This window comes from Homo sapiens, chromosome X (genome assembly GCF_000001405.40).
Source record: "Homo sapiens chromosome X, GRCh38.p14 Primary Assembly".
Classification (NCBI taxonomy): domain Eukaryota; kingdom Metazoa; phylum Chordata; class Mammalia; order Primates; family Hominidae; genus Homo; species Homo sapiens.
In genome coordinates, this window is record NC_000023.11 from 94,683,567 (window position 1) to 94,707,052 (window position 23,486).

Here is a 23,486-nt window from a genome sequence, read left to right on the forward strand (position 1 = left end):
CTCAGGATGTCTGGACAACATATGCCCTAAGCAGTTGAGGTATAGCTTGCTTTTATACATTTTAGGGGGACATAATACATCAATCAATACATGTAAGATTTACACTGATTCTATCTGAAAGGGCAGAACAACTCGAAGTGGGAGCTTTCAGGTCATAGGTAGGTTAAAAAATTTTCTGAAAATTGGTTGAAATAGTTATTAGCAATAGAAAGGAATGACAAGGTTATGATAAGTGATTGTAGAGAACAATGTTTTATCACGCAGATGAAGCCTCCAAGTAGCAAGCTTCAGAGAGGACAGATTGTAAATATTTCTTATCAGACTTAAGGTCTGTGTTGATGTTAATGCTGGTCAACTTTCCCTGAATTCCAAAAGGGAGGGTACAATAAGGCATGTCCGACCACCTCTTTCATCATGACCTTAACTAGTTTTTTGTGTTAACTCTGGAATGCCCTTAGCCAACAAGAAGTGTTTATTTAGATGGTTGAAGGGCCTTAGACTTTTATTTTTAGTTTACATTCTACCCCTTCTGCCCAAGATTTGCCAGGGGCAATATCAGTGGCCAGCAAATTTTTATTTGGTTTCATAGCATTGTTAGGCTGGCATGGCTGTCTGCCCCAAGTTTATCCTGTCTCTCGCTGGGACACTTTTTGGTCAAGAGACTTAGAGCCCAAAAACTCTAATTAAATATTCTACACCAAATAGAAGTAAATGTGAACAGGTATTTATTACCTTTTTTTTTTTTTTTTTTTTTTTTTGTAAAAAGCCAAAAAATAAAAAGCCAAAGGCAAGGTCACAAAACTGACTTATTTTTAACTTCTATGCATTGAGCTACTCTAATCTTGATTTTAGTTACAGACGTATAGCAATTAGCATTACAAAACATAAGCATTGTTCTGAATTAAAAAATATATATATATCTATCTGCACAACCCATAACTGAGAGTATTATGCCCAGGAGGATTTGCCACAAGGTACCTTTATCCTCTCAGTTATTATTTTCTTTTAACTTTACAGGAAGCAAGAAATTCTTTATGGTTGAGATAAATAAAAAGATGCCATATAATACCTCAGAAAGCAGTCTCTTGTTTTATCAGGAGATATTTTCATGATAGTGAATAAAGTGTACCCATCCTTGATTTGGAGGGTCTGAGCTGATTTTTTCCTTCAAAATTGGCCCTTGCAATCTCATGCACCCACCTCTATTGTGGCAGTCCCTGGGCTTAGAGGGAGGGTGCTTGTATGGTCTTAGCAGTAGGGCATTTATAGTGAAAAACAGATTGGGCCTAGTGGGATGCCAAATGAGGGAGATTTGCATTTCTATTCTTTAGAATACTATGATTCTAGTTTCCTTAGAAGTAAAACAAAGAGAGATAAATAACATTAATATTTTGAAAATCAAAAGAGTATTTGTGGATCAGAAGAGAAAAAGGAACATATTCCATTAGGGCACAAACTAAAAATATAGAGAAAAATGATAATCTTATACTCATTAGTGGATTATTGCAGCCAAAAAATGATTTACAATTCAATATGCTCTCAAAAAATAAAAATAAGGGCTAAAGTCTAGTAATAAGTTGATATGGTTTGGCTGTGTCCCCACCCAAATCTGAACTTGAGTTGTATGTCCCAGAATTCCCATGTGTTGTGGGAGGGACCCAGGGGGAGGTAATTGAATCATGGAGAGCATTCTTTTCCATTCTATTTTCATCATAGTGAATAAGTCTCATGATATTTGATGGGTTTATCAGGGGTTTCCACTTTTGCTTCTTCCTCATCCTCTCTTGCCACCACCATGTAAGAAGTGCTTTTGACCCCCTGCCATGATTCTGAGGCCTCCCCAGCCATGTGGAATTGTAAGTCCAATTAAATCTATTTTTTCTTCCCAGTCTCGGGTATGTCTTTATCAGCAGCGTGAATATAGACTAATACACTAAATTGGCACCAGTAGAGTGGGATGTTGCTGAAAAGATATCCAAAAATGTAAAAGGGACTTGGAACTGGGTAACAGGCAGATATTGGAGCAGTTTGGGGGGCTCAGGACAGGAAAATGTGAGAAAGTTTGAAACTTCCTAGCGACTTGTTGAATGTCTTTGCCCAAAATGCTGATAGCGATATGGACAATAAGATTCAGTCTGAGGAGGTCTCTGATGGAGATGAGAAACTTGATGGGAACTGAAGCAGATGTGACTCTTGTTATGTTTTGGCAAAGAGACTGGTGGCATTTTGCCCCTGCCCTAGTGATTTGTGGAACTTTGAACTTGAGAGAGATATTTTAGGGTGTGTGTGCCAAATAAGTTTTTGTCTTATTATACTTGGCAAATATGTGAATATTATATTCACATAAAGTGCAACAACAATTGATTGGCTATATAGGCTTTTCTTAAGTTAGTTTTGCTGGAATTTTACCTAAAAATATGTTATTCTACTCAAAGCTTTGATAAAATAACCAGTGCCTGCAACTGCTCTGTTTTAAAAGAAAAGACTCTCACTAAATTTATGCAAGTAACTATATTGTCATAAAATCAGAATACTCATGAACAGTTTCTGAACTTTGGAGAACTCAAAGAGAAAAGTGAATTTGCTCACAAAAACATATTTCACTAGATTTCCCTGACTCTTCTTTAATCAGAGGAGCAGCTTTCAAACAGGATGTTGCTTGTTCACGTTGAAACTGCTTCCCTCAAGCCAAACAGCTGTTGTGAGATGAGAGCAGTCTATCAGGCATTGTGGAATCTAGCAGTTCCTCAAATAGTTAGAATCCCTCCTAGGGAAAAGAAAGACTCTCTGCTTATGCATATTCTTCTCCTTATATGGTCCAGGTAGCAAGATTCTATATAAAAATGATTTGAGTCCTGAACGTAGGATTGGGACAAGAGACTCAGGCTGTTTTGTCAGTCTTTTTAATTTGCCTCATCATTGTCCAGGCAATGTCAGCTTTCTCATTATAACCTTTGCATTTTGATTTTTCTTAAATGTTCCAATCTGGGGCAAATAGTGTTTGAAAGATCTTTGTTTTAACTCCTCAATTTTCATTTTACTTATTTTATTTCTTAATAACCATCCAAAATTTTCTATTACACTTCTGTGGCAAAACGTTTGACTCCCTTTTTCTATTCCCATTTATTTTGTTAATTATCTCCAATATTTTATTAAGCAACTGTAAAACCCACGAGGGACAGCAAATTTGATAAGGCTTCTCAAACAGTCATATGAATCTGTGCGAGTAATGTCATCCAGGGCACTCATGTAAAAGGAGCCCCTTAACAAAAATTTACCATGAACTGGGTAACAGGCATATTCAGTGGGAGAATATCCTGGTCATTATAAATCCAGTCCCAACTGGCTTGCATATGTAGCATAGCAACTGTTTCATGTGGGGTCCTCCACTTGGTATTTCTTAGGGAGAGTAGGAAAGTCCCATTCTCAGGGTAAATAGACCTTACAGTAGCATTTATCTGATTCACTAGACTGGTTGTTCTCTCAGGAATAATCTGTGCATTTGGATCACATATATTTATCAACAATTGTTTAATAGTAATCTGCTGGTCCTGCATTAAACCAAACAAGCTCTTTTATTCTGTAGCATTTTAAATGAAGGATTCTGTCCTTAAAGTAGTTATTTCTACAATCTATTATAGTAAATGTTTCACAGGAAGCTGATGATACCAATCTAGAAAATGAAACAATTTCTTTACATTATACCTTCTGATTTTAATAGTTACTTAGTTTTGCTCTTCCCCACATTGACTATTTTCTTGGTAACCACAGATATCAGAGGTAACATTTTGCCCTGGCTTAATTTTTCTCTTTATCCATTTAGTTTAATTTGTATAACTTTTTCTTCATTTTAAAGTGACTCTTAACTAGTCTTTTAAAGCATATCAACTGGTTAATCTGGGGTGCTCTACTTGGTATTTTATAGGGAGAGTTGGGCAGTCCAATTCTCAGGGTAAACAGACATTACAAGGGCAAGTCTCTGCTTTACTAGGGCAGTTGTTCTCTCAGGAATAACCTCCTGAGTGTTTGGATGACATATATTTGCATCACAAAAAAATACATTTTTTTTTTTGGCAAAAACCACATCCTTGTGTTTTTATTAACCAAAAACACCTTTTACACTCCTACTATTTTATCTCCTAGCAGTCCTAATTCCCAGAAAGAAAAGTTACTTAATTTAACATAACATTACTATAAGCTTTTAAACTACTAAACTGAATTTTGAGATTAAATTTACCTAATTAATTTTACCAAGATCATGTGAATTGAAAGGAATCTGAGATAACTTCTATCTGCTTAGTAAGCCCTTACTTTTCTTTAACACAATTTTGCTTAGAGTTCTTTCATATAGTTTAGAAGTAAACCATCACTTCCACATGACAAATATAAATATATACATATAACAGATGGGCAGACAAAAGCAGATCCAAAAGATTATGTATTTTGCCTGTTTTCAAAATTTATCCCCCTCATTTTAGAATATTAGTTAAAAAATTACAGAAGCCACCAAGAGTTGAATGAAAAAGTTACCATCCTAGACGTTCTCAAAAGAGAGAATTGGCAGAAGCATCAGGGTACAGCTTCTGAGATATCAATCTGAATAATTTCAAAAAGAAACATATTATAGAATTTTAAAATTAAAAACCCTCTTGCATTAAAAGTAACTCCATATTTTTGATAAAAACTTGCTCTAACCCAATGTTTAGTTGGTATAAGGGTATTTTTAATGTCAAAGTCCAATTTTTAGAAAAACTATTTATTATAATTTTCTTTAATTATTGTCAATTACATAACATTTTTATAATTTTTTTTTACTAATTTTATTATAAATCAGATTATTCATAGCATGCTTGGACTTTCAGGTTTTTTCTAAATGTTCTCTTTCTTAAGAAACTAATTTTATTTTAAGCCAAAAATTCACCATACAATTACTTTTAATATAAAATTACTTTTTTAAACTTTCTAACTAAAAATAACTCTTGATTTTATAACTTTCTTTACCTGTATTTTATTTTCTTGTTCTTTTTACCTTGTTTTACACATAACCTTTAAATGAGTTTTAATTACACAAAAACAATTTACTTTTTAGTAAGAACACATTTTTTAGAATTTTCCTGTAATTTTTTTAAATTGTAAAATATTTAGAAATGTAATGAAATATTTATTATTCATCTATTATAACTTTAAATTCTTAATTATGAAAACTTGGTTTGCAAGTATTCATTCCATTACAGTTACCTAATTATTTTATTTGATAGTTTACCTAGATTATTTATAAAAAATGTGATAGTCGTCATTTAAAATTATTTACCTGTCAACCATTTTTAAGTCCTGCAAATTTCAGGTTTTTACATAAGAATCTTAAGATTAAAGATATGGTTACTTTACCAATAATTCAAACTTTAGCTCTTTCCATTAAACCAACAATATTAATGTTTTATTTATCAAAAAATTATACAAGCAAAAGTCATTCTGTTTTTGGCTGGGTTTATAGTTTTTAACCCTTATGGCAAATTTTGACACCTTATAGTATTTGGCAGGGATAAGTATAAAATCACTTGATCAATAATGCAAACAGAAATGTAGGCTGACAATTCTTGAAACATCTCTAATATTACTTTACCAATGATTTTAAAGCCAACTAATTTATTAGAGTTTACTTAAGTCACATGAACTTGAAAAGCAGTTTGGCTTTTTATTTAATTTATGAGTACTCTTTAAGTCAACTTGGTACCTTGTAGTCAAAAACACATAACAAAATAGGCATACGTGATACAGTTTGGCCGTGTCCCCACCCAAATTTCCCTGCACAAACTCTCCCTTTTTGCCTGGTGCCATCCACATAAGATGTGACTTGCTCCTCCTTGTCTTCCACCATAATTGTGAGGCCTCCCCAGCCATGTGAAACTGTAAGTCCACTAAATCTCTTTCTTTTGTAAATTGCCCAGTCTCAATATGGCTTTATCAGCAGTGTGAAAATGCACTAATACAGTAAGTTGGTACCAGTAGAGGGTGAGCTGCTGAAAAGATACCTTCAAATGTCAAAGAAACTTTGGAACTGGGTAACAGGCAGAAGTTAGAACAGCTTGTGGGGCTCAGAAGACAATAAAAGTTTGGAACTTCCTAGAGACTTGTTGAATGGCTTTGGCCAAAATGCTGTTAGTGATACGGATATTAAAGTCCAGGCTGAGGTGGTCTCAGGTGGAAATAAGAAACTTGTTGGGAACTGGAGCAAAGGTGACTCTTGTTATGTTTTAGCAAAGAGAGTGGTGGCATTTTGACCCTGCCCTAAAGATTTGTGGAACTTCAGACTTGAGAGAGATGATTTAGGGTATCTGGTAGAAGAAATGCCTAAGCAGTAAAGGATTCAAGATGTGACTTGGGTGCTGTTAAAGGCATTCAGTTTTATAAGGGAAGCAGAGCATAAAAGTTGAGAAAATTTGCAGCCTGACAATACAATAGAAAAGAAAATCCCATTTTCTGAGGAGAAATTCAAGCCAGCTGCAGAAATTTGCATAAGTAATGAGGAGGCAAATGTTAATCCCCAAGACAACGGGAAAAATGCCTCCAGGGCATGTCAGAGGTATTCATGGAGACCCTTCCATCACAGGCCTGGAGGCCTAGTAGGAGACAGTGGTTTTGTTGCCTGAACCCAGGATCCCCGTGCTGTGTGCAGTCCATGGACTTGCTGTCCTATGTCTCAGCCACTCCAGCAATGGCTAAAAGGGGCCAAACTAGAGTTCAGGCCATGGCTTCAGAGGGTGCAAGCACCAAGCCTTGGCAGCTTCCATGTGGCGTTGAGCCTGTGAGTGTACACAAGTCAAGAAGTGGGGTTTGGGGACCTCCACATGGATTTCAGAAGATGTATGGAAATGCCAGGATGTCCAGGCAGAAGTTTGCTGCAGGGTCAGGGACCTCATAGAGAATCTCTGCTAGGGCAGTGCAGAATAGAAATGGGTTGGAGCCCCCACACAGTGTCCCTATTGGGGCACCACCTAGTGGATCTGTGAGAAGAGAGTCACCATCCTCCAGTCCTCCAGATCCCAGAATGTTAGATCAACTGATGGCTTGCACTGTGTGCCTGAAAAAGCCACAGACACTCAATGACAGCCTGTGAAGGCAGCCAGAAGGGAGACTGCACCTTGCAAAGCCACATAGGCAGAGCTGCCCAAGACCATGGAGACCCACCTTTTGTGCCTGTGTGGCCTGGATATGAGACCTGGAGTCAAAGGAGATCATTTTGGAGCCTTAAAATTTAACTGACCTGCTGGATTTCAGACTGGCATGGGGCCTGTAGCCTTTTTGTTTTGGCCAATTTCTTTAATATGGAATGGGTGTATTTACCCAATACCTGTACCCCCTTTGTAGCTAGGAAGTAGCTAACTTGCTTTTGATTTTACAGACTCATAGGCAGAAGTGATTTGCCTTGTCTCAGATGCAACATTGGACTATGGGCTTTTGAGCTAATACTGAAATGAGTTGAGACTTTGGGGGACTGTTGGGGAAACATGACTGGTTTTGACATGTGAGGAAATGAGATTTGGGAGGGGCAAGGGGCAGAATAATATGGTTTGGCTGTGTCCCCACCCAAGTCTCATCTCAAATTCCCATGTGTTGTTAAAGGAATCTGGTGGGAAGTAATTGAATCATGAAGTCTTTTCTGTGCTGTTCTCATGATAGTGAATAAATCTCACAAGATCTGATGGTTTTATAAGTGGGAGTTTCCCTGCACAAGCTCTCTCTCTTTGCCTGCCATCATCCATGTAAGATGTGACTTGTTCCTCCTTGCTTTCCACCATGATTGTTAGGCCTCCCCAGCCATGTTCTACATGTGTCTATTAAACCTCTTTATTTTGTAAATTACTCAGTCTCCGGTATGTCTTTATCAGCAGTGTGAAAATGGACTAATACAATACATACACATAAATACACACATACACAGTTATACAAACAAAAATCTTATAGCTTTTACTTCAGAACTCTAGCCATAAAGTATTAATACAAACTCACTGGTTTGCAGAAGCAAATAATGAAAAGAAACATTTGGATGTAAACAGTGGATTTTATCTAATAGAAAATTAACAGGAGACGTAAAAAGCAGGAAGAAAAGAAAACAGAGAGATTGACAGAGAACTTAGAAACTTTATAGTTGCAGGTCAACTTTTAGGCTCTGAATTTTCCTTGATGTGATTTCCCTGTTAGTTTAAAATGTGCACAAGAACAGACGTAATGTTTAACTAAACTGGAATATTAGAAGATGTGACATGTTCTTTCATTTACACAACCACTTGCAAGGAGAGGCACCGTAAAACAAAATAGGTGTGTGAAGGGGTCATTCTTAGATAATCTGTTTCCTATATGTCTTGAAAAGAAGGTGTGCAACAAAATAAACTTTATATCTCAACCAAATTTTGGGAGATCAGGGATTCTCTGGAGTAGTGAGGGGGAGCACCCAGGTGTCTGCAAATTGTCCTATTGGTTTGAGCCAAAAAAGTAGCTAAACCTAATACGAAGCACCGATAGGAGATTTGTCTAAAGTCAGGGGCACCTCCACTCAGAATCCCTTCATGGTTTCCAATTTGTGAACCTAAAATATCTGAGAAAGGTCAGGCATGATGGCTCACATCTGTAATCCCAGCACTTTGGAAGGTCAAGCAGGTAAATTGCTTGAGCTTAGGAGTTTGAGACCAGCCTGGGCAACATACTGAGACCCCATCTCTACAAAAAAATGCAAAAATTAGCCAGGCATGGTGGCATGTGCCTATAGTCCCAGCTACTTGGGAGGCTGAGGCAGAAGGATCACTTGAGCCTGAAGGCAGATGTTGCAGTGAGCCGTGATCACGCCACTGCCCTCAAGACTGGGTGATCGATCAAGAGATCAAGACTCCCTCTAAATATATATATATAAAATATTTGAGGTTGTTCTTAATTTAGAAAGTTTATTTTACCAAGGTTAAAGACATGCCTGTGAAACAGCCTCAGGAGGTCCTGATGACATGTGCCCAATGGGGTCAGGGTACAGCTAGCTTTTTGTACATTTTAGGGAGACATAATGCATCAATCAATGCATATAAGATTTACATTGGCTTGATCTGGAAGTGTGGAACAATTCAAAGTGGGGGCTTCCAGGTCATAAACAGATTTAAAACTTTTCTGATTGGCAATTGGTTGAAAGAGTTATATCAATAGAAAAGAATGTCTAGGTTAAAATGAGGGTTTTTGGAGATAGTTTTATGATGCAGACGAAGCCACCAAATAGCAAGTTTCAGAGACAATAGATTATAAATGCTTCTTATCAGACTAAGGTCTGTGTTGATGTTAATGCTGATCAGCTTTTCCTGAGTTCCAAAAGGCAGTAGGGAATAATGAGGCATGTCCAACTCCGTCTCTTCCATCATGGCCTGAACTTGATTTTTAGGTTGACTCTGGAATGCCCTTGGATAAGAGGAGGGGTCCATTCAGATGGTAGATATGCCTTAGAATTTTATTTGTGGTTTACATTTATTTTCTTCTGCTAGCTTTGGGGTTTGTTATTTCTTTTTTCTCAATGCCTGTATGCTCAATGTTAAATTGCTAATTTGAGATTTTTCTAACTTCCTGATTAAGCCATTCAGTGCTATAAACTTTCCTGTTAATATTGCTTTAGCTGCAACCCACAAATTTTGGTAAGTTTTTCCACTATTTTCATTAATTTTAATTTTTTTCTTCATGCCTTAATTTCATCGTTCATTTAGCAGTTTATTCAGGAGAAAGTTGTTTAAATTTTATGTATTTGTGTAGTTTTGAGATATCTTGATTTTTTTTCTATTTTTATTACATTGTAGTCCAAGATTGTGCTTAGTATAATTTACATTTTTTTAGTTTACTGAAACTTGCTTTATGATCAAGCCTACGTTAAATCTTACTATAAGTTCCATGTGCTAATGAGAAGAATATTTTTCTGTGGTTGTTGGATGGAATATTCTAGATGTCTATTATGTATAAATGGTCAAGGATCGAGATTAAATCTAGAATATCTTTGTTAGTTTTCTGTCTCAAGCTCTGTCTAATACTGTCAGTAGGGTGTTGAAATTTCCCACTACTATAGTGCATCTGTCTAAATATTCTTACAGGTTAAAAAGAACTTTTTTTAAAATGAATCTGTGTGCTCCAATATTGGGTGAATATACATTTAGAATAGTTAACTCTTCTTGATGAATTGAACCCTTTACCATTATGTAATTTCCCTTTTCCTCCTTTTTTAATTATTTTGTGTTCAAAGCCTATTTTTTTCTGATATAAGAATAGCAACTCTTGCTCTTGTTTTTCATTTGCATGATAGATTTTTCTCCATCTGTTTTACTTTGAGACTGTGGATGTCATTACATGTGAGATGGGCCTTTTGAAGGCAGTAAAGGGTTGAGGCTTGTCATTTTATTCAACTTGCCACTCTGTGTCTTTTATGTGGGACATTTAGATGATCTACAATCAAAGTTAGCATTGACATGTAAAATTTTTATCCTGTCTTTGTGTTGTTAGCTGGTTGTTTTGTAGACTTAATTGTGTAGTTGTTTATAGTGTCTTTAGATTATGTGCTGAAGTGTGTTTCTGTGGTAGCAGATGTTATTTTGTTTCCATGTTTAGCACTCCCTTAAGGACCTCTTGTAAGGCTGGTCTAATTTCCTTAGCATTTGCATCCCTGAAAAGGATTTTAGGTCTCTTTCACTCATGAAGCTTTATTTTTCAGGATACGAAATTCTTGGTTGGAATTTCTGTTTTTAGGGATGCTGAAAATAGGCCCTTAATTTCTTCTGGCCTGTAAGATTTCTTCTGAGATATCCACTGCTAGCCTGATGGGGTTGTCTTTTTATGTGACCTGATCCTTCTATGTAGCTGCCTTTAAGAGTTTTTCTCTCACTTTGACCTTTATCAGTCTGATGACTATATGCCTGGGGGGTGATTTGGTTGTACATTATCTTGCAGGGGTTTTCCGTGTTTGTTGACTTTGTATGTCAAACTCTTTAGCAAGACTGAAGATATTTTCATGGACTATATCCTCAAACGTATTTTTTCAAAGTTCCTTACTTTCTCTTTTTTCTCAGAAATGCCAATGAGACATAGTTTTTGTCCTTTACTTAATCCTATATTTCACTTCAGTTTTGTTTATTAGAATTTATTTTTCATTTTTGTCTGACTGAGTTTATTTGATTAATCAATCTGTGAGCACTGAGATTCTTTCCTCAGCTTGGTCTATTCTGCTGTTAATAGTTCTGATTGTATTACAAAATTTTTGTAGTGATTTTTTTAGTTCTAGAAGTTCACTTTGGTTCTTTTCTAATATGGCTATTTTTTTCCTTTTAGATCCTGTGTCATTTTATTCACTTCCTTGGATTTCCTGGACTGGCTTTTAACTTTCTCCTGAATCTTGATAAGCTTCCTTGCACTCCAGCTTCTAAATTCTATGTCTTTTATTTAAGTAATTTCAATCAGCTCCATCCTCCATACCTCTGGAAACTAAACGACTGATTTGAAAGTGGGAAGACACTCTGGCTTTTTGAATTGCAGCCATTCAAAGCCTGGAACTAGCCCTAGCATTTGGTAAACCCATGCAGGGTTCCAAGCCTCCTTTCTCTTCAGCCTCAGCGTCTGCGTCACCTTTCTATAAACTCTTTGTTTTCTCTCCAATGATCTGCACAAAGTATGGGTTAATTTACTTGATATTTTGGGCTCTTTTGCTGGGAGCGACACTCCCTGGCTCTAGACAGTACTTACACCTGAGTTTCTCGTCCCTGAATGTTTTGTTGATATCTAAGGTTTATTTTGTCCCTGAAACTCAGGTGTAAGTAATCACCTGAAACTCAGGTGAAAATAAAATATTCATTTTATTGCATAAGGACATTCTGTTGTTCCAGCAGCAATTGTTGGAGACTATGCTTTCTCCACTGAATTACCTTTTCTTTTTTGTCAAAGATCAGTTGACTAAATTTGATTGCTTTTTAAATGTTGAATTATCTTGCATACCTGGTGATTTTTGACCCAAAATGTGGTCTCTCTTGCTGAATGTTCCGTGTGGCTTGAGATAAATGTATTTTTGCTATTGTTGGATAACAAAATCCTATACATGTCAAATGCATCCACTTGATTGATAAGGCTATTAGTTCAACTATATCCTTGCAATCTTTTTGCCTGATAAATCTGTCAATTACTACTAGAACGATGTTAAAATCTTCAATTGTTATGGAGTAAATCGTGTCATTCTAAAATTCGTATGCTGAAGTCTCATTACCCAGTACCCATTTAAAATATGATTGTGTGTGGAAATAGGCTCCTTAAATAGATAATTAAGATTAAGTGAGGTCACATGGCTAGGATCTAGTCCAATATATCTGATTTGATGGCTAATTTTACGTGTCAGCTTGACTGGCTGATGGGATGCCCGAATAGCACATGAAACATTATTGCTGGGAATGTCTCTGCAGGTGTTTCCGAGTAAAATTAACATTTGAATTGCTGGACTAAGCAAAGCAGAGGGCCATCATTAATCTGTTTAAGGACTAAATAGTACAAAAAGGAAGAAGGTTGAATTAGCACTCTACCTGACTGCTGACTCTACCTGAAATTCCATACCCTCAGGGCTTCTGGTTTTCAGGCCTCTAGATCTGGACTGAAATCTATGCTCTGACAAAAAAATAAAAACTCAGGACCCCAATTAACTATGCCAAAGTTAGAAAAAAAAAATACACTGAAAGCTGAGTCATCCAATTAACTGCCTTCATTTTGTTCCTAAGCAGATACCTACAGATAAAAGGTTAAATGTCTCCACAGGTTGCTACTCTGTGTTCACTGTATCTTACGTAAAGTGCTGATTTACTGAGTTTGAGATATACATAATTTACTATTCCTCTACCTGTTTCTTTTCCCTTTCATCATGTGGATTACCATACTCTTCTTCTTTCTCCTCCAGCTTACTTTTTTCTCCTAAATATTGAAGCTCTCAAATTCATCTTTGGAGAAAGGCACAGACCAAAGATTGTTTCTGTGATTACATGTTTCTTATTCTGGGCATGTCCCTAACCCTGGCAAAATAAATTTTCAAATTGATTGAGACCCATCTCATATACTTTCTGGTTTACAAATTGGCAACCAATAGAAGAGACTGAATGGAGGTTGCCTTGACCTTTGACAAATCTATTGGTGCTTGGTACTAGCTTGGAATATCTTTATTTCTCAAACCAATAGGACTATTTGCTGAAATTTAGGAGCTCTCTCCTCCAGAGAATTCCTGATCTTCCAAATTTTTGTTGATATATAAGGCTTATTTTGCTATATAACACATTTTCTGGAGTTTCACTTATTTTCAACAAGGAAGATGAATTTTCCTGCTTCTATGATGATGGATGGCAACTCTTTTTTGAAGTTTCAGCTCACTTCCAACAGGAATGGAGAGTTTGAATTTTTCCTGCTTCTAAGATTGTATAGAGCAGTCTTCAGCCAGGGCTTCATTCTTAGGTAAGTAGCTGAATTGGAATTTTGTCTTGAAAATTTCCCTTAATGTCTGAAATTTAAGATTGACAGACAGCTGGTCTTAATTTCTTATTATTAGAGTGCTCAGGAATCATACTTTTTGTTCTGTTTTTGTTATGTTTTAGTATGTTAACCCAAAAATTGGTGACAGGTCTCAGTCCATTTAAAAAGTCTCTTTTGTCAAGGTTAAGGATGCACCTATGACACAGCTTCAGGGAGTCGTGACAATATGTGTTCAAGGTGGTCGGGGGTACAATTTGCTTTTGTAAATTTTAGGGAGACATGTGACATCAATCAATATGTGTAAGAAGTACAATGGCTTGGTCCAGTAAGGTGGGACAACTTGAAGTAGGGGCTTCCAGGGTAGAAGTAGATAAGCATTGCACTCTTTTGAGTCCTTGGTAAGCCTTCCACTGAATACGCAATTTAGTCTGGCTCAGTGAATCTGCATCTTTACATAAACATTAGGGGAAAGAGAGGAATCAGATATGTGTTTGTCTCAGGTGAGCCTGAGGATGGTGACTTTGAGTTCTGTCTGTCCTTTTGCGGCAGGCCAATACTTCCTGACAATCACACAGACAGGCCTGCATGACAGTCACACAGACAGGCCTGCATAGCAACCCAGTGACACCAACAAATTTTCACAGCGCTGTCTTAACATTGAGCAAATAATTAAACTAAGGGAGATAAATGCCCAGACATCAAAGCTAGAAATGAAACATGTGGTCAGTAGGAGCCTTGCACAGGCTTCTCCCTAACCTGGAGCAAGTCAAAATAATGGACACAGCTTACATTCCTTGTGCCAAAATAATGGAGACAGCCTTACCTTCCTTGCGCCAGGAGCCATCTCAGGTCGATGACATCTGAGACGAGTCAAGGTAACAGAGGCAGCTGTTTGAATAGATTTACTGGGGAGTCTAAGGCAGCTCTCTGGACCAAACTGCAAACAAGGTAAGATAGAAATTAATCACTCCGGTACCACAGTCCTCATTAATTAGACTTTAGGAGACAGACCTTTAAAATACCAGGACCCTCACAGCTTGATCAGACTTAAAAAGCATTTTTGGCCGCTGACCTTCTAGTTAAAACAAAATTAGTTACCTATAAACTTAGGCGAATGCAATGCTGTGGGTAAGCACATAACCCCAACCTATATAAGCACTAAGGAAATTGTAGCACTTTGAGTTGGTCTGTTGAAACTATCTCTGACCTTCTCTCTATAACCAGTTACAGCAATAAACTCCTTTCTTTCCCAATTTGTCTACTTCTCGTTATTGGGTTGTGAGGACACGCAGCCAGATCAAGCTTATTCTGGGAACACTTTGTCCACAAGGAATTTCCTTGTGGGCAAATTGTGAGGGAGATATGTAGCTTCTTATCTCTGTAGCTATTTTATTAAGAAATAAAATGGGAGGCGGTTTTACCTGACATAGTTTCCAGCTTGACTTTTCTTTTGGCTTAGTGATTTGAGGATCCCAAGATTTATTTATTTTTTCACAAGTATTTCGCTCATCAGGTTTGACAAACCCTACTTGACTTAGTCAAATGTGAGTGAGAATTCCAATTTATGGAAAACGAGGCTTCTGAATTTGCTAAAATTCCCCACAACTGCCGAAAAAAAATGTTTTTAAAAACTGCATTTTATGTTTTCTTTAAATTTTGTTTTTATTTATTTTTCTCTTACTCTATTTCTCATACCTCTTTTTTCATCTTCAGTACCAAGTGAGCAAAAAATCTAGCAAAGGCTTTTTCATGCGCGTCCGTGTGAAGAGACCACCAAACAGGCTTTGTGTGAGCAACAAGGCTGTTTATTTCACCTGGGTGCAGGCGGGCTGAGTCCGAAAAGAGAGTCAGCGAAGGGAGATAAGGGTGGGGCTGTTTTATAGGATTTGGGTAGGTAAAGGAAAATTACAGTCAAAGGGGGTTTGTTCTCTGGCGGGCAGGAGTCGGGGTCGCAAGGTGCTCAGTGGGGGTGCTTTTTGAGCCAGTATGAGCCAGGAAAAGGACTTTCACAAGGTAATGTCATCACTTAAGGCAAGGACCGGCCATTTACACTTCTTTTGTGGTGGAATGTCATCAGTTAAGGTGGGGCAGGGCATATTCACTTCTTTTGTGATTCTTCAGTTACTTCAGGCCATCTGGGCGTATAGGTGCAAGTCACAGGGGATGCGATGGCTTGGCTTGGGCTCAGAGGCCTGACATTCCTGCCTTCTCATATTAATAAGAAAAATAAAATAGTGTTGAAGTGTTGGGGTGGCGAAAATTTTTGGGGGGTGGTATGGAGAGAGAATGGGCAATGTTTCTCAGGGCTGCTTCAAGCGGGATTAGGTGAACCTAAAGTGGGAGAGATTAAGCTGAAGGGAGGTCTTGTGGTAAGGGGTGATATTGTGGGAATGTTAGAAGAAACATTTGTCGTATAGAATGATTGGTGATGGCCTGGATACGGTTTTGGATGAATTGAGAAACTAAATGGAATAACAGAGGAGAAAAACAGGTATAAAATGTCTAAGAATTGGGAGGACCTAGGGTATCTGATTAGAGAGTGCCTAAGGAGATTCAGCATAGTCCTGCCAGTAAAGATTATTTATTTACTTCAAGAGTTAAGAGTGGCAGTTTGGGGATAGCACCAGGAGATATCAGCTGTGATGGCTTGGAAAAACAGTGTAAACCGGCAGTGTAAACAAGAGCAGGGCATGTATGAGTAGCTGAGAATGGTGAATAGGAGTATGACTAGACAGAAGATAGTAGGGATGACAAGTTTTTTGGGGGCACAGTCTAAGTTGGTCTGGTGTCTGGAATGAGACTGGGGCCTAATAAAAAGGAGCGTCTATACAGGAGCTTAAATGGGCTGTACCCTGTAGCATTCCGAGGACAGGCCTGAATTCTGAGAAGGGAAAGTGGTAAAAGTATTGTCCAGTCCTTTTTAAGTTGGTGGCTGAGCTTGGTGAGGTGTGTTTTTAAAAGACCTTTAGTCCATTCTACTTTTCTTGAAGACGGAGGACCGTAAGGGATATAAAGGTTTCACTGAATACTAAGAGCCTGAAAAACTCCTTGGCTGATTTGACTAATAAAGGCTGGTCTGTTATCAGACTGCATTGAGGTGGGAAGGCTAAACTGAGGAACTATGTCTGACAGAAGGGAAGAAATGACTGAGGAGGACTTCTCAGACCCTGTAGGAAAGGCCTCTACCTATCCAGTGAAAGTATCTACCTAGACTAAGAGGTATTTTAGTTATCTGACTCAGGGCATGTTGAGTAAAGCTAATTTGCCAGTCCTGGTTGGGGCAAATCCTTGAGCTTGATGTGTAGGGAAGGGAGGGGGCCTGAATAATCCTTGAGGAGTAGTAGAATAGCAGATGGAACACTGAGAAGTTATTTCTTTGAGGATAGATTTCCACGATGGAAAGGAAATGAGAGGTTCTGAGAGGTGGGCTAGTGGCTTGTACCATAGCATAGCCTGCCTTTGCTGGTGTGTGGCGATAAGGCCTGGTGGAACCGCCATCAATAAATCAAGCGTGATCAGGGTGAGGAACAGGAAAGAAGGAAATTTGGGGAAATGGGGTGAATGTCACGTGGATCAGAGAGATACAGTCATGGGGGTCAGGTGTGGTATCAGGAATAATGTGGGAGGCCAGATTGAAGTCTGGGCCAGGAACAATGGTAATTGTGGGAGACTCAACAAAGAGTGAGTATAGCTGAAGGAGCCGGGAAAAAGAAAGTATGTGTCAGGTATGAGGAAGAAAATAGATTTTGGAAGTTATGAGAACTGTAGAGAGTGAGTTGAGCATAGTTTGTGATTTTGAGGGCCTCTAAAGGTATTAATGCAGTGGCAGCCGCTGCACGCAGACATGAGGGCTAGGCTAAAACAGTAAGGTCAAGTTGTTTGGACAGAAAGGCTACAGGGTGTGGTCCTGGCTCTTGTGTAAGAATTCTGACCGTGCTAACCAGGCCTAGGAAGGAAAGGAGTTGTTGTTTTGTAGAAGGTGCTGGGGTTTGAGAGATCAGTCGGACACGATTGGTAGGGAGAGCACGTGTGTTTTTATGAGAATTATGCTGAGACAGGTAACAGATGAGGAAGAAATTTGGGCTTGATTGAAGTAATGGGGGCTGTCTGTGAAGCTTTGCGGCAGTACAGCCCAGGTAATTTGCTGAGCTTGATGGGTGTCAGGGTCAGTCAAAGTGAAAGCGAAGAGAGGCTGGGATTAAGGGTGCAAAGGAATAGTAAAGAAAGCACGTTTGAGATCTAGAACAGAATAATGGGTTGTAGAGGCAGGTATTGAGGATAGGAGAGTATATGGGTTTGGCAGCACGGGGTGGATAGGCAAAACAATTTGGTTGATAAGGCGCAGATCCTGAACTAACTTGTAAGGCTTGTCTGGTTTTAGGACAGGTAAAATGGGGGAATTGTAAGGAGAGTTTATAGGCTTTAAAAGGCCATGCTGTAGCAGGCGAGTGATAACAGGCTTTAATCCTTTCAAAGCATGCTGTGGGATGGGATATTGGCATTGAGCGGGGTAAGGGTGATGAGGTTTTAATGGGATGGTAAGGGGTGCATGATCGGTCGCCAAGGAGGGAGTAGAGGTATCTTATATTTGTGGGTTAAGGTGGGGGGATACAAGAGGAGGACACAAAGGAGGCTTTGGATTGGGAAGAAGGGCAGCAATGAGGTGTGGCTGTAGCCCAGGAATAGTCAGGGAAGCAGATAATTTAGTTAAAGTGTCTCCGCCTAATAAGGGAACTGGGCAGGTGGGGATAACTAAAAGGAGTGCTTAAAAGAGTATTGTCTAAGTTGGCACCAGAGTTGGGAAGTTTTAAGAGGTTTAGAAGCCTTGCCGTCAATACCTACAACAGTTATGGAGGTGAGGGAAACAGGCCTTTGAAAAGAAGGTAATGTGGAGTGGGTAGCCTCCGTATTGATTAAGAAGGGAACGGACTTACCTTCCACTGTGAGAGTTATCTGAAGCTCAGCGTCCATGATGTAGGGGGGCTTCCGAGGCGACTGGGCAGCGTCAGTCTTCAGCCGCTAAGCCAAGAAGATCTGGGAAGGAGTCAGAGAGCCTTGGGCCAGAGTTCCAGGGGCTCTGGGAGTGGCTGCCAGGTGAGTTGGACAGTCCGATTTCCAGTGGGGTCTCGCACAGATGGGACGCGGCTTAGGAGGAATCCTGGGCTGCAGGCATTCCTTGGCCTGGTGGCCAGATTTCTGGCACTTGTAGCAAGCTCCTGGGGGAGGCGGTACTGGAGGAACGCCTGGCCGCTGCGGTTCAGGCATTTGGAAGTTCTTGTGTGCTAGAGATGTGGTTGGGGTTTGTCTCACAGTGGAGGCAAGGAATTGCAACTTTTTTCTATTATTGTACACCTTGAAGGCGAGGTTAATTAAATCCTGTTGTGGGGTTTGAGGGCTGGAATTTAATTTTTGGAGTTTTATTTAATGTCAGGAGCAGATTGGGTAATAAAATGTATTTTGAGAATAAGACGGCCTTTTGACCTTTTAGGGTCTAGGGCTGTAAAGTGTCTCAGGGTTGCTGCCAAACAAGTTATGAACTGGGCTGGATTTTTATATTGATAAAGAGCCTAAACGCTATCTGATTTGGGATAAAGAAAAAGGAGCAATAACCTTGACTATGCCTTTAGCTCCAGCCACCTTTTTAAGAGTAAATTGCTGGCAGGTGGGGGAGGGCTAGTCACGGAATGAAACTGTAAGCCGGACCGGACTGGGTGTGAGGAGAGGAGGTGATAAAAGGATTATAGGGTGGAGGAGCGGAGGCTGAGGAAGACTTGGGACCTAGCTCGGCCTGGTGAGGAGCAGCCTGGGGAGGAGGGGAGAGGTCAGATGGGTCTGTAGAAAAGGAAGATTAGAAAGACTCAGTGATGCTTGGGGTTGGGACTGAGGGGACAGGTGGGAGGGAAAGAAGGAAGATTTGGGATGAGTTGCATTGGGCACAGAGACTGGGGAGGGACCGATGTGTAAAAGAATGCCTGGACGTCAGGCACCTCAGACCGTTTGCCCATTTTACGACAAGAATTATTTAGATCTTGCAGGATGGAAAAATTGAAAGTGCTGTTTTCCGGCTATTTGGAACTACTGTTGAGTTTGTATTGGGGTCAAGCGGCATTGCAGAAGAAAATAAGGCATTTAGGTTTTAGGTCAGGTGTGAGTTGAAGAGGTTTTAAGTTTTTGAGAACACAGGCTAAGAGAGAAGAAGGAGGAATGGAGGGTGGAAGGTTGCCTATAGTGAAGGAGGCAAGTTTAAAGAAAAGGGAGAGTAGAGACACGGAGGGAAGCGGTTCAGGGGTTCTTACCCTCCAGAAAAGCAGGAAAGGGGTCGGGGTGCAGAGATACGAGGTCAGGGCGTGGAGACATAAGATGTCGGGGCATGGAAATAAGGGATTGTGGTGCAGAGATAAGAGGTTGGGGCATGGAAATAAGGGATTGGGGCACAGAGATAATAGGTTGGGGTGTGGAAATAAGGGATTGAGGTGCAGAGATATGAGGTTGGGGTACTTTCCCCTCCTCTAGAAAAGTGGGACTTGCCACTCAGGGTGAAGGAGAAAGGGTTGGGGGTTTCTTGCCCCCCAGAAAGGCAGAGAAGGGGTAGAGACACGGAGAGAAGGGGTTGGGGTACTTGCCCCTTCCCCAGAAAAGCAGGACTTGCCACTAAGGGTGAAGGACCAAGGCAGGCATCCCTGCGTGGTCTGACACCTCTGAAACCTGGGTAAATAATCAGAGAGGTGTCCCTGAAATGATTAAACACCAAGGGAAAGCTGCCTTCCCTAGTCCGTGACCGGCGCCAGAGTTTTGGGTCCAGGGATAAAACATGTCTCCTTTGTCTCTACCAGAAAATGAAAGGAATTGAAATTAAAAGAAGGGAGAGATTGAAGTGTGGCACCAAGATTGAAAGGAGAAAGAGGCTGAGGGATAGTGAGGGAGGTTGGAGAAGAGAGTAAAAAGAGGCGGCTTACTGGATTTGAAATTGGTGAGATGTTTCTTGGGCTGGTTGGTCTGAGGACCTGAGGTCGTAGGTGGATCTTTCTCACGGAGCAAAGAGCAGGAGGACAGGGGATTGATTTCCCAAGGGAGGTCCCCTGATCTGAGTCACGGCACCAAATTTAATGCATGTCCGTGTGAAGAGACCACCAAACAGGCTTTGTGTGAGCAACAAGGCTGTTTATTTCACCTGGGTGCAGGCGGGCTGAGTCCGAAAAGAGAGTCAGTGAAGGGAGATAAGGGTGGGGCTGTTTTATAGGATTTGGGTAGGTAAAGGAAAATTACAGTCAAAGGGGGTTTGTTCTCTGGCAGGCAGGAGTGGGGGTCGCAAGGTGCTCAGTGGGGGTGCTTTTTGAGCCAGGATGAGCCAGGAAAAGGACTTTCACAAGGTAATGTCATCACTTAAGGCAAGGACCGGCCTTTTTCACTTCTTTTGTGGTGGAATGTCATCAGTTAAGGCGGGGCAGGGCACATTCACTTCTTTTGTGATTCTTCAGTTACTTCAGGCCATCTGGGCATACATGTGCAAGTCACAGGGCATGCGATGGCTTGGCTTGGGCTCAGAGGCCTGACTGGGACCAAATTTCATGCGCGTCCGTGTGAAGAGACCACCAAACAGGCTTTGTGTGAGCAACAAGGCTGTTTATTTCACCTGGGTGCAGGCGGGCTGAGTCCGAAAAGAGAGTCAGTGAAGGGAGATAAGGGTGGGGCTGTTTTATAGGATTTGGGTAGGTAACGGAAAATTACAGTCAAAGGGGGTTTGTTCTCTGGCGGGCAGGAGTCGGGGTCGCAAGGTGCTCAGTGGGGGTGCTTTTTGAGCCAGGATGAGCCAGGAAAAGGACTTTCACAAGGTAATGTCATCACTTAAGGCAAGGACCGGCCATTTACACTTCTTTTGTGGTGGAATGTCATCAGTTAAGGTGGGGCAGGGCATATTCACTTCTTTTGTGATTCTTCAGTTACTTCAGGCCATCTGGGCGTATAGGTGCAAGACACAGGGGATGTGATGGCTTGGCTTGGGCTCAGAGGCCTGACAGGCTTCTAATGAATCAGACCCCTTAACAAAGAGAGAGTATTCTGCTTTCTTTGTGGAGTTTCAAGTGTCATGGCAGATTTCTTTCAGGTCTAAAGTTCTGCTTTCTTATATTGCATTACCTGATCTCTTTGGCTTTGGTGGGTACTAGAGATTATTTTGTACTGTTACAAAATTTGACCTTGGTGTGTGTAGTGGCAGATGAGAATGACAATGTTAGGGATGGCTGAGCAAAATTTATAGAAAATGGCCATTACTACTGAGGGAAGAGAGAGACTCTCTCATATTGTTTTATATTGTTTTATACTCAGTATCTGTTTTAAGAAAAAAAAAAACAAGGAAGTGAAATCAAAGACAGTCAGCCCAGTGCCAGGCCCAAAACCAGGCCTGGGCCTGCCTCGCCTAAACATAGTAGTTAAAAATCAACTCATGACTTAGAACCCAATGTTACCCATAGATTTCAGGCATTGTGTGGAAGAACATTGTGAAACTCCCTGCTCTGCTCTGTTTCACTCTGACCACCAGTACATGCAGCCCCTGTCACTACCCCTTGCTTGCTCAAATCAATCACGACCCTTTCATGTGAAATCTTTAGTGTTGTGAGCCCTTAAAAGGGACATAAATTGTGCACTCAGGGAGCTCGGATTTTAAGGCAGTAGCTTGCTGATGCTCCCAGCTGAATAAAGCCCTTCCTTCTACAACTCGGTGTCTGAGAGGTTTTGTCTGTGGCTCGTTCTGCTACACTACGAGGAACAACTCATTTATTTGAACATTTAGATAAAAACGTCATTATGCAAGCCCTAAAACCTGCATGCTTTGTTGGCCCTGTTTCTTAAAGGGCTTCACCCTAAAGTTAGTAATCTAGTAAAGCTAAGTTGAAAAGACCATCTATAAAACTAAATCATTTAAATAAATCTCTTTGTATGGAAAATTTTCATCTTTAAATAAAATCTTTTTTTTTTTTTTTTTTTTTTCGTAAAGCAGCTGTGTCTCTGCACCTAAACCACTAGAAATTTTAACTAGGGAATAAACAATGTTTTAAAGTTTACATAATAGACCTTACTTTTGTTTACATCTAAGTCTATGCCTTTGAGATGTACGTTTTCTACCTTTTTTTAAACCTAAGTCATGTCTTTGGAGATGCAAATTTAGAGTTGCCTAGTTAACAATTGTTTAGGACATGGGACAGATAATCAAGAGATTAATAGTCTGTAGCAGGAGCTAGAACATGTTTGAAAATAGGCAAACGAAATATTTTAAATCTATAAGATCTGCCTCTGTCTGGGTCTTCTATGTCAATATGTTATATGTGTGTTGTGGAAATGATGTTCATCTATTAATCATATGAGAGAACTCTAATTAACTGGCTAAAAGAAAAGTGTTTATCAAATTAATAGAAGCTAGCTCACAGACTTCAGTTCACATGACTGTAGTAATCATTGGTAAGATTAATTTAGTAACTTTAGTCTCAAAATTTTCTCCAATAATTTGAAATCTTAAAGTCATGTATGACCCCTGAATATCTGAGACAGGTCTCAGTTAATTTAGAAAGTTTATTTGCCAAGGTTGAGGATGCGCACCCCTGACACAATCTCAGGAGGTCCTGATGACATCTGCCCAAGGTGATCAGAGCACAGCTTGGTTTTACACATTTTAGAGAGACATGAGATATCAATCAACATATGTAAGATGAACATTTGTTGGGTCCAGAAAGGTGGGACAACTCAAAGCAAATGTGGGATGATTCGAAGTGGAGTGGGGACTTACAGGTCATAGTTAGATAAGAGACAAATAGTTGCATTCTTTTGAGATTCTGATTAGCCTCTCCAAAGGAGGTGTATTAGTTCGTTCTCACACTACTGATACAGACATATCCGAGACTGGGTAATTTATAAATAAAAAGAGTTTTAATGGGCTCACAGTTCCACGTGGCTGGAGAGGCCTCACAATCATGGCAAAAGGCCAA

At 39.8% G+C, this 23,486-nt stretch overlaps 1 long non-coding RNA gene across 1 annotated transcript, besides 6 other annotated features; it reads right to left on the bottom strand.

The window, feature by feature from the left end:
* Positions 1–5,414: 5,414 nt before the first annotated feature.
* LOC107985647 (uncharacterized) lies at positions 5,415–20,715 on the bottom strand. The gene is made up of 3 exons (XR_001755988.2): positions 18,441–20,715; positions 14,330–14,443; positions 5,415–9,435 (listed from the first exon to the last, which is right to left on the bottom strand). It is a non-coding gene; the product is annotated as an uncharacterized LOC107985647 (long non-coding RNA).
* Positions 12,197–12,930: an enhancer, noted in NCBI's record as "OCT4-NANOG hESC enhancer chrX:93950762-93951495 (GRCh37/hg19 assembly coordinates)". NCBI's record gives its function as "activates a minimal SCP1, AML or CMV promoter by ChIP-STARR-seq in naive H9 embryonic stem cells {active_cell/tissue: H9 hESC(naive)}" and the evidence as "EXISTENCE:reporter gene assay evidence [ECO:0000049][PMID:30033119]".
* Positions 13,640–14,153: an enhancer, noted in NCBI's record as "H3K27ac hESC enhancer chrX:93952205-93952718 (GRCh37/hg19 assembly coordinates)". NCBI's record gives its function as "activates a minimal SCP1, AML or CMV promoter by ChIP-STARR-seq in naive H9 embryonic stem cells {active_cell/tissue: H9 hESC(naive)}" and the evidence as "EXISTENCE:reporter gene assay evidence [ECO:0000049][PMID:30033119]".
* Positions 14,995–15,991: an enhancer, noted in NCBI's record as "OCT4-NANOG-H3K27ac hESC enhancer chrX:93953560-93954556 (GRCh37/hg19 assembly coordinates)". NCBI's record gives its function as "activates a minimal SCP1, AML or CMV promoter by ChIP-STARR-seq in naive and primed H9 embryonic stem cells {active_cell/tissue: H9 hESC(naive and primed)}" and the evidence as "EXISTENCE:reporter gene assay evidence [ECO:0000049][PMID:30033119]".
* Positions 19,976–20,970: an enhancer, noted in NCBI's record as "OCT4-NANOG-H3K27ac-H3K4me1 hESC enhancer chrX:93958541-93959535 (GRCh37/hg19 assembly coordinates)". NCBI's record gives its function as "activates a minimal SCP1, AML or CMV promoter by ChIP-STARR-seq in naive and primed H9 embryonic stem cells {active_cell/tissue: H9 hESC(naive and primed)}" and the evidence as "EXISTENCE:reporter gene assay evidence [ECO:0000049][PMID:30033119]".
* Positions 20,971–21,966: an enhancer, noted in NCBI's record as "OCT4-NANOG-H3K27ac hESC enhancer chrX:93959536-93960531 (GRCh37/hg19 assembly coordinates)". NCBI's record gives its function as "activates a minimal SCP1, AML or CMV promoter by ChIP-STARR-seq in naive and primed H9 embryonic stem cells {active_cell/tissue: H9 hESC(naive and primed)}" and the evidence as "EXISTENCE:reporter gene assay evidence [ECO:0000049][PMID:30033119]".
* Positions 21,967–22,961: an enhancer, noted in NCBI's record as "NANOG-H3K27ac hESC enhancer chrX:93960532-93961526 (GRCh37/hg19 assembly coordinates)". NCBI's record gives its function as "activates a minimal SCP1, AML or CMV promoter by ChIP-STARR-seq in primed H9 embryonic stem cells {active_cell/tissue: H9 hESC(primed)}" and the evidence as "EXISTENCE:reporter gene assay evidence [ECO:0000049][PMID:30033119]".